At 33.9% G+C, this 12402-nt stretch overlaps 1 protein-coding gene, 1 long non-coding RNA gene and 2 other non-coding genes across 6 annotated transcripts in view; 1 reads left to right on the forward strand and 3 right to left on the reverse strand.

The window, feature by feature from the left end:
* The window catches only part of MIB1 (MIB E3 ubiquitin protein ligase 1), a 166038-nt gene that overhangs the window by 118740 nt on the left and 34896 nt on the right, over positions 1–12402 (forward strand). The gene's annotated exons all lie outside the window — the stretch shown is intronic.
* On the reverse strand, positions 1824–7751 carry MIR133A1HG (MIR133A1 host gene). Its single transcript, NR_110369.1, has 3 exons — positions 7667–7751; positions 6965–7139; positions 1824–5797 (listed from the first exon to the last, which is right to left on the reverse strand). It is a non-coding gene; the product is annotated as an MIR133A1 host gene (long non-coding RNA).
* Positions 2043–2130, reverse strand: MIR133A1 (microRNA 133a-1). Its single transcript, NR_029675.1, has one exon. It is a non-coding gene; the product is annotated as a microRNA 133a-1 (primary transcript).
* On the reverse strand, positions 5349–5433 carry MIR1-2 (microRNA 1-2). The gene has a single exon (NR_029662.1). It is a non-coding gene; the product is annotated as a microRNA 1-2 (primary transcript).

A 12402-nucleotide genomic window follows, 5' to 3' on the forward strand; every position in this document is an offset into this window, starting at 1 on the left:
AGGGAATATAAATTTTCACTATGAGACCCTGAGTACTTTGGTTGTGCTTTATAAAGTTTGGAGCATTTTAAGTAGAAATTACACCATGTTTTAATACAGTTTTGTTTTTTTTGAGAAATCTTAACTAAGAACAATGCTGTTTGTCTGTTCTGATAGTTAATATTTATAGGCATGTTTTCATCTAGAGTTTAGCCATATTTATCATCTCTTAGTATATAGGTAAAATTTTGGATTTAAAGTAAGAGTAGAAATTATTTCTGCTGATAAAAGTGAAAACTGAATTTCTTTGGAGTAGCATAATCAGCATGTTACTTAGGTACTTTCTGTAAAGATGCTGCATTTTTAGCTGTTTTTAGAGCTCCCTTACAGGCATGAAAATAAATTAGTCAGCAGTATTCTCTGCAGAGCTGGCAAAAACAATCGATAGGTATTTTGGAAGTACAGGTAACAATAATATAATTATAAAGTTTATATAGTATTTACGAATTTTTCTTGAATAGAAATTGAATGTGAAAAGTAAACGTAAAATATGAGTGAATCACCTGATGTGATATATGTTGTTTTTAGGTTGGTACTAAGATAATTTCACAGGCGTTTCTTATTTGCTTACTAATTCCCACAAAGACACATATTACAAATCTTACTGAATATGTGAGCAACTCATAGTTTTCCTTCTCGAATGTTGTGATGCTTTTTTTACTTTTTAAATTCTGAAATATGGTCTGTAAACAAGACTATGTTGGCTATTTGAAGATTTGATAAGCTGTACTGTATTTTGGTGTTTAATGCTTTCCTTACAACTGTAAACATGCTGAGTGCTATCTACAAAATATAGCTGAGTCTATTCGGTAATAGGATACTTAGAGTGTGTTTTCTCTAATGTATGCTCATGCATCTACTCTCAAACACCATATTCCTTGTAATACACAAATGTACTTTCTGTGACTGAGGTGTAATTAATAGGAGGAAGAAGATCTTGAATGAAGTGATAAGATATATATTTATATATGTCTCCTTTTGCCCACAGTCTTTTAGAGAATGATGTTCATTTTGAAATGGAGGAGTGGTCAGGAGTTGAGAATGTGTGAACATCTGGGTCTTTAAACTACTCTTGTCTTCAGTAATCTTCATTAATTGCTGAAATGTTTGTCTCTATTAAATAATATTAAATTATCTATAGTTTTATTGCAATCATTAAGAAAATTATACGGATGTTAGAGTAATTGTCACTTTTTTTCTTTACTTCAGTTTATCCCCACTGAAGGAGAATATTGTGTGTATATTTTTTATAAGGGACAAAGAAGACAGTGAGGAGAGTCATAGTATTTATTGTTAGCAGAGTTCTTCATTTTACAGCTGTGAAAACAAATATGGAGAGGTGAAATATTTCATGAGTAAAAGTAGTGATGCTTAGCATTTTCTTTCTTTTTTGAAGACTAAAAACCTTTGATTCAGGGTCAGAAGAACTAGATAACTGTTTTAAGCCTCTCCACAAGATATTCTACAGTTATCATCTTTTTCACCTTACCTGCTAACATTCAGGTAAATAGCGGTAAAATTAAAGGCCAATACTATGGAAGATAGTGACTAAACATTTCTAGAGTGTTATATAATGTTACAGTTTTCTTTAATTTAAATATGCACACATCCATGTAAACCACACTGTACAATCCCATTATGTGTTCAGGTGGGTTTTAGGTGACCTTTCCAGATATTTTCTTCCTTTGAAGGAAGTTTTTGTTGTTGTTGTTATTATGAAGCATAGCCTACATTTTATTACCAGTTCTTTTCTTTTCTGAAGGATAAGAAATTTAATACCAAGAGACCATAATAAGTAAAATTTTTATTTGAAATCCTTAAGTCATCCATACATTTTTCATAAAGCTTTTTATAAACATCTTTAACCATTCTAGCTTTTCCAGGTAGAATTAACAGTAACAAGTTATTTGATTATAATCACAGTCTGCATAATGTAAATAAGTTGAAATTAGTTGGCAAGTAATTGATATTCACAAATGAAAACGTTGGTTGTCCCGTAGTAATCAATGCATAGCTACAGCTGGTTGAAGGGGACCAAATCCATTGAAGAGGCGATTTGGTTCCATTTTACCAGCTCTAGCAAAGCATTGTAGTGCTGCTAGTTTGGAATCCAAAACAGTTAAATGCTTTTCATTGGTAAAATTACAGTCATGGACCTTCTACAAGTGTTAGAAATTATCATACCAATGCTTCAGTCACTGAATGTCAAATTTTCCATTTTGAAGTCACTTTCCTACTGTTTTCCTGCGCTTAATGGTTTAAAAATCTTTTCCTTTTAACACATTACTGCATTAAGGAATGATCAATGTACGTCTTTGTTTTCAACATCTTTGCTTCTTTTTCTTTTTCTAATCTTGTCCACAGCCGAAGTCTTTGCTTAATTCTTACATGTAGACAATAAGCTATTTCAAAACCAATAGTATTTAAAGGAACAAATAGACCTTGATGTATTTTAGAGTAATGTTTTCCATTTATCTCTAGGCAGCAAACCAGATAAATAGTTAAGCTAAAAGGTTGGGGAAGAGTTCAGTTAGTCACCCCCTTCTACTGCCACTGCTTCTTTTAGCATTATAGTTGAGGGCTAATAGCAAATTGTTGATGGGTGTAGGAATATCAGTGGCCTTAAGAAAGTACCTCTGCCCTTTGATTTATAAATAGATCACATGTGTATTCAGTGTATTGCTTGGACTTGTGTCGAAAGGAACTACCATGCATGCCAGTTTTTCTTTGTTTTTGCTTACGTGGTGTTACTAATCATAGCTTAGTAATTTAACCCTTTTAAAGGTCTATTTCCTTGACTAAGTTCTTTGTCATTTTGGGTACAGATTGCCAAGTTACTTCTCATTATCGCCTTAGTAATACATGGTGGTTAGTTACAATCCATGGATACAAGTATTAAAATCTATTGTGTGGATAATACTTGAAAAATCAGAGTAAATTTTTGTTATAATGTGGTTTTACTGTTGATTTCAATGTCTTGAGAGGGGTGTCTTCTTGCATAAAATAAAAGTTTGATAAATTATAATTTGCCTATAAAGTTAAGTGCTCTCAGAGAAATATAGAGTAGAGAAATATTCTTTACAGTTACTATTTTAAACTGAGAGGTCAACGCTAATTCAGGCAGTATGCAAATGACTCTTACACTAAGTATATTCTGCGTCTGTTGGTTGGTAAGTATCATACTGCTGGTGAAATTAACTACAATTCTTTTTCATCATTTTTTCTAGTAGAAGTGAAACAGGTGTTAAACTGCCTAAACTTAAGTGCTGAAGATAGCAATAATACTGGCTTCTATTTTTACTAGTTATATGGGAGCTGTTTAGCAGATCCAGTTGCTCAAGTGTGTTTTTGGATGGCAGTTCAGTTTCATATACTGGCCATATCGGGGCAAGGAGAGGCCATGGGAAAAAAATAGTACAGCATTTGATAATGTCAGCATCTGTTATCCCTGTCAGGGAGACAGTTGAAATGTTTGAGTTATACCAGTGTCAGCAGATGCCCAGAGTTTAATATGTACTCAGTTAAAAATGAACAGCTGATCTAAGTGATAGATGTGACATTTTAGAGTGATTGAAAATACTCTTAGATAAGTTAAACTCGCAAGCACCAGAATCAGCATATAATTTTACTTTTAAAAATGAATAGCCTGTCATTTTATTTTCTAAGGATTATTTATATAGTCTTAATATTATAGCAAAGAGAGTCTTAGTTGCTAGGATGTTTGAGAAGGATTATTAAACAACTTGTATACCTATAGAATGACCAATATAACTGTTTATTATAAAACACAAGTAGAGTAATAAGCTTTGAGTATTTTTATAGAAGAACCTCTACTTTTGAGGTATATATTTTGAGTTCTTGGTATTTAGGACCTATACAGGTAAACTTACCAAATAGAACATGAATCATTGCCATTCTGTTTTGTGGATGATCAGAAGGGCTATGCTTATGTGAGTTAAGCTTTGAACTAATTTCTTTGAAAGTGTAGAATTTTAAAATTATGTGCCTTTTATAATTTCCAGTAAACATGCAGTAACACATATGATGCCATGTGTAAGTCATTCTCATTCTTTATAATCTGATAAAATGAAAATCATCTTTGTATTAACTAGTCTTATTAAACAGAAAATGAACTATAGTTAAACTTAGTCATTTCCATTCAATTTCTGATACAAAAAATTTAAAATATTATGCTTTTATACATGTGTAAATATTTCAGTTGAAATAATACTTTTAGTAAGAAATGGTTAGAATATGTGAATATTACTCTTATTTTCTAACTTTGTCATTAGTAGCTTAAAACAGGTACTGCTTATAAATTTTGCTAAGAGCATTATTTGGAATTTTTTATAAATAATATACAAACTGTGTGAAATAAAAGTATTTTGATATTTCTAAACAATGGATTGATCAAGTTTAGAGAAATTGAATTGTAATTGCATAGTACAATAAAAACAGTTCTTCGATCTGTATAAATTGGTTCTTGACTATAGTGCTTTCATTTTACATGCCCTCTTTGGAGAAAGCAAATTCGAAGATAATACAGATAAATTAATTTCTTTTAAATATTTGGTAGTCTGTTACCAATATACCCTGCTGACTTACAGCTGTGGACCAGAATTTTGTCATTTTTCATGCTTAAATCTTACATTTTAATTAATTTTAAGTTTTAACTTCACATTTAAAGTAGAGATTTGGGTTAAGACCCTGATAAACTTGAGAAGGAAGGACAAGGGCCACTATGTTTGTAGCTGTCAAAAAAGAAAGCCTTTTTAAAACAACAAAACTTTTGGTCAGAAATTCCTCTAATATTAATTATACATTTATCAAAATGAGAAGAAATAGCTTATTATGTGAATGAAGCCAGCTCTTAGTATCTTATTTTTCTGTACAAATCAGTGAGCCCTACTAATGAGATATACTTAAGATTAAATTGTGGAGACAGAAAATAGGTCATGTGTATTCCTCATTCTTTTGTGCTAGTAATACTATTTTCCCTTTTGCAGTCAAATTTTAATAATGAGAGTGCCTAATTTAAAAATGTAAGATGTCTGTTTTAAACTTAGATGATTTAAAAGGAGTTTCATGATAATTGAAATCTACTTCACTGGATCTTCTTTTCCTTCATGAAATAAAAACCTTAGGGATAGTTTCTATCTATCAGTAGTAGATAACCTTTTTTTTTTGGTGTTAGTATTGCCAAAGGTCATCTGTTCATGACTAGGTTAATTTACCATATGACGGTCATTCACGTAGAAAGAAGCAAGAGCTTCTTTTAGCTCAGTTTAATTCTCCCTTGGTGGTTTATTGCCTACCAAAAATACATACTTCTTTACATTCCATAGCATTGTATGTTCATATGGGTACATAAAGAAGTATGTACTCTGAGTAGGTATTACTAAGTTGTTAGCTGTAAAAACATGAAATATTTTATTTTCTTATTTGTTAGTGAAACATTCAGCTTACTAATGTAGAGCAATGGTAAATCATTTGCAGAGACTAATTTATCGAAGACTAAATTTTGTAACAAGTTTACCTGAAGCATGGCATTAATGGTTCCATATTCTTGGTGGACATAGACATTCCTAAGCATTTGACCAGTTATCTGTTGAACTTTGTCCTGGTTTGATTCTTTTTGCAAGAGATTCAAAGAATCAGTGTAGTGTTACAGAGTGTATTTCGGAAACTTAAGATCAGCCTAGTGTTTCTTCAGTCTTCAGAGTGAATTTCTTCTTTTTTTGTAGTCTGCTTCTAGATCCTACAGGTAGATAGTAATTAATTAAATTCAATTTTTTTTTTACAAACTAGATATCTTACTCAAAACCTAACAAATTAACCAATAAGTATTTCTGATATTGACTCTAGAAGTTGAAACAACAAGGAGAAAAACCAGGATGAGTGTGGGTGAATTGAACTTTTTTAAAGATTATGAATTTTTGTTAGTGTTTTATAAGGTCACAGATAAGAACTCGTGATCATTTGAAAATTTGTCATTCTTTTTTCTTTATTAGTTCCTTACCTGAAGTTTGCACTTTGATGCTTCTCTTTGGGTTAAATACAAATATGAGTTGAATACAAATTCAAATAGATGTAGAAATATCTAATTTTGGTGAGTTTAAGTTGTTTTGATTCTTTAATCTTTTTAGTATAAAGGATAACTGTCAGAATCGTCAACTTTTAGAAAGTATCACTTCAAAGAACTGAAAGGTTTTAGTCTGTGAGCACCTGGGTTTTATTTACCTTGATAGTTTAGAATGAAAAGAAATTATAGTTGGTAAGTAGCCTTCAGTTATTGTGGTATTAGAAGGTTAATTTAAAACCTCAAGAAATTTTCAGATTTGTCAAAGGAGGAAAAAAAAGGGCAGGGATAGTAGAATTTCTGCAGCTTGTGATAAAAAGCTAGTGCAGCTTATAGAGAGCAAATCAGAATGTAGCAGTAGATAGCCCAGCACTACAGCAGTTTCAGCAATGCAGCATTAGAATTACACCATGCACGTTCTGATTTATTTTTGTGGCCAATTATTAGTAAGCATTAAAAAGTATTTTATGATCTGCCAAGTTTCTTGGTTGACTAAACCTTGAAATAGAAGCTAATAGTTTTAGAAAATAAGTATACTTTGGAAGCAGGATGTGACTTACTAGAGATGCAAAATCATCACTTAATCTGAAACAATAATGACTAAATCTTTAATAATGTAAATGACAATAATGTATTTGTACATTTTTAAGATAAAAAGTTACTGCCATAGTATCTGAACAATATTCCTTTTTACACTACATTAGCTCTTAACTTGAATTGTGAAATTAGGCTATGGTTAGATAGAATTTAATTTAACAATGAGAACATATATTGAGTCAATAATAGGTAAGCATGCAGAAAGTCATAAGCATCCTTAAAAGTACAGGCCTTATGGTGCTCTGTTACCTGTAAGCTTAGTGTCATGCAGCATTTGCAGCAGGAAGAAAGGTAGTAACCTAGAGAATCACATCAACAGCAGCCATCTCATCTTGATTGTTCGTTCACTCTATTTGCTGATTCAGCATTTCTTTTCATGAGCCCGGTGAAGGAAGGGGATGTATCAGTGAACACAGAACCTCACCTTTTAAGATAAATTTGAAAAACAAACGAGCAAACAAAAAACAAGCTTACTTTTCCCTCTCCTCCCCTCTTCCCTTTACCAAAAACAAAAACAAAAACAAAAACCACCAACAAAAACAACTCTAAAATTGAATCAGTGTTGGCCATTTGATTTGGAATGTCATATAACAGTCTTGCACAGTTATATAGGGAAAGTTAAGCAATCAAAAAAGGTTGCTACAAAGGCCAAGAAAATGAACCTAGCTTGTCAGATGAAATGCTTCAGAAGAGGGGAAAAAGTTGCAGAAGTTAATTTTATAGTCTAAAAAAGACAAAAAAAAAAAAAAACAAAAACAGAACCCAAAACACACCTTACTCCCCCCAAATAACTGTAAACATTCACCCTGTTTTTCTTTGCCCTCCAGAATACATTGGGTTCTTCTGACTTCTTAGGAAATAGTCTGCATCTTTCTTGCTTTTAGATTTTTTTTTTTTTTTTTTTTGGTTTTTAGTTTCCAGGATTAAATAGTAGAGCTGTAGTGAAGCTACCTTGTCACATCCAGAGGTCAAGTCTGCAAGCGAGGTCAGGACTTCCACATGGTCACTACGAGGCTAACTTATATTCTTCCTCAGTGACCACTGGCTAAACTGTTACAGCTTTATAGGCAGCTAAGCATTTGAAACATGCACTCCCAGGCAAACAGGCTCTCTTGTGCCTCTCTCTTCCCTGACCATATTTAGTCAACCATAGCAAAAAATAGCCTCTCAGCTGTCGATTGTCGATCCAAAAGCTGAGGAAGCCTCAATCTTGCTTTCTGCCTATTGATTGTTCATCCTGCGGTCCAAACACTGCTTAGCCATTTGTCCTGCCCCCCACTTTTTTTTTTTTGAGGGGGGGTAAGCACTGCCAAATAAAGCGGTCTCTCATGTTTCCACTTACATTTCCCAGATTTTCACTGAGCTTGCGCTGAGACTAGGAAAGCCTGATGCACTGTCACTATACTTAGAAGCACTGCAGAGAAAAAAGGAAAGAGGAAAAAAATTACCATGGCTAGTAGCAAGACAATCTTTAGACAGTTATGGAACAAGTGAAGTCCCTCTGCTGCCAAAATACATTTTATAACCTGATTTTTTGATTGATAAAAAATGTTATGGATGGTGATATGTTACATATCTAAAGGCCTGAAAGGATTTTGTAGGGTTATCTTTAGAGCTAGTTGTTGCCATATACATGCTTTTAAAGTTTATTGAATGGAAAATGTATAGAAATGGTAGGTAAGACCTGTATATTGGTGGTGGAGAGACATCATCAAGGGAGAAGAAAGTAGTATGTAAATGAAATCTTAGAAGTGCTACTTAAAACAATTCACTGTCAATTTCAGTTAATTTTTTTTATAATGCTTTGGTAAAAAACAGGGTCCAGTATGCTTTTGAGTAATTATACAAGTATTCAGATGCATTTTATTATGAATTCTACTTTATATTCAAATGTGTAGTGTTTTTGCTGTCCCTTCTACATTGTCATGTTTCTCTAATTTTCTGAAGTGACTTTTAGGCATGATCATTGCACACTTTACACAGATTGAAATAGTCATTAACCTGTCTATAACTCTATTACATAGTATGTGACTCAGAGGTAAAAATACTTTTGTTTTAAATTTTAATAGCATATTCACAATAGATTTTGATACTGAAATTTTTTTAATCAAAGAGAAAAAATATTAAAACATGAAGTCCAGTAAACCTGTGGAGATATAGTTTAAGATCTCACATAAAAATGCAGAAGAGAAACCAGCTATACCTTGTTTTTTAATCCAAATATGTCCTCTTAAGAAACAAGAAAAACTATTACGAGTTTTCTGAGCTTACTCACCTACGGAAGTTTGTCCTTCACATTCTTGTTGTCTTTAGCATTTAATATCATAGCAGTTTAATTATTTTGAATGTCTGTTTTAAAACAGTGGCATAAGGAATACTTCTTTAGATATTGGGCAATTTTAAACAGCTTTCCTAGATATTGAAATAATTTTACTCATATTATGAGAAGATGACATGTCTCAGAGTATAAAGTAGGTTAATTTTCAGTTTTCTCAAGTACCCCATTTTGTTAATGATTTTGTAGCAGTGAAAGTACTTATTTTTTAAGCAAACACTTACATAATGTGTTATGTGCCAGGTTCTCTTTCTAAGCCCTTTATAAATATTAACTCATTTAATTTTCATAACAACCCTATAAAGTAGGATTTGTGATTCTTCTCACATTTTACAGATGAGGAAACTGAGGCACAGAAGTTAAGTAATCTGCTGAAGTCACTAGCCATTGTGGCTAGAGCCAGAATTTGAACTCAGATAATTTGGTTTCAGACTGGGAGCTCTTCACCACTATGCCACATTGCTCCTCAGATTTGTGATAATGAAATGAGTTAGGAAATTATTCCTCTTGGGAACAAAACCATGCATCAAATATATATTGCCAATATCTTTGCCTCAGTATATTCAGAAAGATGATTATTTGATTATTTGTTTATTCATTTCTTCCATTCAACAAAACTTTGAGTTCCCTATACTAGGTATACAAAGTATACCTTTTTGATCAAAATGTGTTCAGTTTTATAGTAACCTGCTTTTAGCATGCCCAAAAGAACTACTGGCAGTTGATCAGTTTTCTTAATAAATTCCTTTTTGAATTCTTGACTAATCTACATTACCGATTTGAGGGATTGTTTATTAATTTACCAAGCATTTATTGAACACCTAATATGTGCTACAGTGCTATTCTAATGTTGTTTTGCCTTAAGTAGTACTAACATGTAAGGCCTCCACAGTTTAGCTAGTAGGGTTTGGGAAAATGTTGCCTGCCTCTGAAGAAAGATTGCAAAGCATGGCAGGCCCTAAAAATTGACCCAGTGCCACTTGAATACTGCATACCAGTGTAGACAGCTGCTTGTCCCCTCTGCTTCTTTATAACTCATTTGTTCATCATTCAGCAAACGTTTGAATACTATCATGTGCCAGGGATTATGGTAGGCACTGCTATTAGTTGTTCTGGAACTTAATGCTTCTTTGGCACTATTCACAAATGCCTGCTTAACTGGTAGTAAGATCTTATCTTTAAAACATCCATGTCCTTAACCTCTTGGAAAACAACCAAATTGAGCATTAGGGAAAATATCTCTAAATCTCATATACTATGCTCCACAGGTGAGACAGTCTATTGGCTTAACAAAATTACTGAATTCTCGAGCTGGTAACACCTTTTTCCCAGTAACTCTACGGACCTCAGTGCTTGCAGCTTAACAGTCTCCTCTTAATTAACTAAAGTGCTGCAGGGAACAGCCTGCTGCTGTCCTTGTGGTTATAGTGTGTCTTCCTAAGATTGCCTGCCTCATGGAAAGAAAGGAGACAGGCTGCTCTGAACTACTGCTGTTGACGTGAGAGTGATGGGACCAGAAACTGTTTTGCTTAACTTTCCCTTAGCTTACCTTGCAGGCTGGGCCCAAAGATGACCTCTTTTCTTGAGGCCCTGTATTATTATTTTTTTTTGAGGGGGTTGGCAATTTTTGATTAAGATGAGAGGGCTGTAGGTCTCTGTTCAAATAATTTATGTAGCACCCTCAAGGAGGTGAACTATAACTTCCCGCTCCTTAAGTGTGGGCTGTACATAGTCACTTCCTTCCTAAGAGCATAGTTTAGAGATACGGAAATGTTTACATTGGAGAAACATGAAGAACACTACTTCAGCCAGATGATCAAGGTTAACTTCTAGAGTCATATGGCATGTTGATAGTATGTACCCTTGGTGTGATGTGATTAAATGACACTTTATCTCTGTGGCCTTCTTACTAAGAACCAATAGCACAGCGTAATCATGAGAAAAGCATCAGACAAATTCCAACTGAGGAATAGTCTACACAATATCCCATTAGTACTCTTCAAAACTGTCAGACTCATCAAAAACAAGGAAAGTCTGGGAAACTGTCACAACCAAAGGGAGCTAAGGAGAAAAGACAACTAAATGTAAAGGGGTATTCTGGAACAGAGAAAGAACATTGAATAAAACTAAGGAAATCTCAGGTGTGGACTTTGGTTAATAACAGCGCTTCAACATTGGTTTATTGAAACAAATGTACCATACTATGTAAAATGTTAGTAACAAGGATGGAGGAGTATATGGGAACTCTGTACTAGCTTTGCAATGTTCTATAAATCTAACATTGCTTTAAAATAGATATTTAAAAACAAAACCAAAAAGTTCACCACTCCTGGCTAGTTGACCCTTGCATTAGTTTTGATTTGGGGCTATCTGCAGTGTTTCTCCACAGCTTAGTAAATCAAGTTGATTTTGCTATAATTGATTTCAAGAAAATATTATGTTTAGTCTCATGTTCTTTTAAAAGTGTATTAAAGGCAGGGAAGTATATTTTAGAATTTTTTTTTTATCAAGACTAGTCTTATTTTTAAAAGATTTATTTAAAAAGAATATGTGAAAATTGTGAAATGGTCAGATTTGTGTGGGGTGGTATAGAGAATAGAGTGGAAAGGAGACTGGGGGCCATTGGGAAGAACAGTTGAGTTTTAAAAAGGAGAAACGGCAGGACAAATTGAATGTGGACATAAGAAGAGAGGAAAGAGTCTAGAATGATTCCCTGGTTTCTGAGTAGAATGGCTGATTAAATGGTAAGAAGGGTAATCAAGATCAAGAATATAGGAGGAGCCCGGGTGCGGTGGCTCACGCCTGTAATCCCAGCACTTTGGGAGGCCCAGGTGGGTGGATCACGAGGTCAGGAGTTCAAGACCGGCCTGGCCAAGATGGTGAAACCCTGTCTCTACTAAAAATACACATAAAAAATTAGCCGGGCCTGGTGGTGGGCACCTGTAATCCCAGCTACTCGGGAGGCTGAGGCAGAGAATTGCTTGAACCTGGGAGGTGGAGGTTGCAGTGAGCCGAGATTGAGCTACTGCACTCCAGCCTGGGCAACACAGCAAGACTCCATCTCAAGAAAAAAAAAAAAATATATATATATATATCCACACACACACACACACACACACACACACACACACACAAACACACACGAGGAGTATTGGGAAAGAGGAGGGGGCAAAGAGGTATTTGTACTATGTTTGAGTATACATCTATAATCTTAGAGTTGTCATAATACTATTATATTGAAGAGTTTCAAAAACGTTTTTAGATTGGGCATGGTGGGTCATGCTTGTAATCCCAGCACTTTGGGAGGCTAAGGCAGGTGGATGGCTTAAGCTCAGGAGTTCAAGACCAGCCT

This window comes from Homo sapiens, chromosome 18 (genome assembly GCF_000001405.40).
Source record: "Homo sapiens chromosome 18, GRCh38.p14 Primary Assembly".
Lineage (NCBI taxonomy): Eukaryota > Metazoa > Chordata > Mammalia > Primates > Hominidae > Homo > Homo sapiens.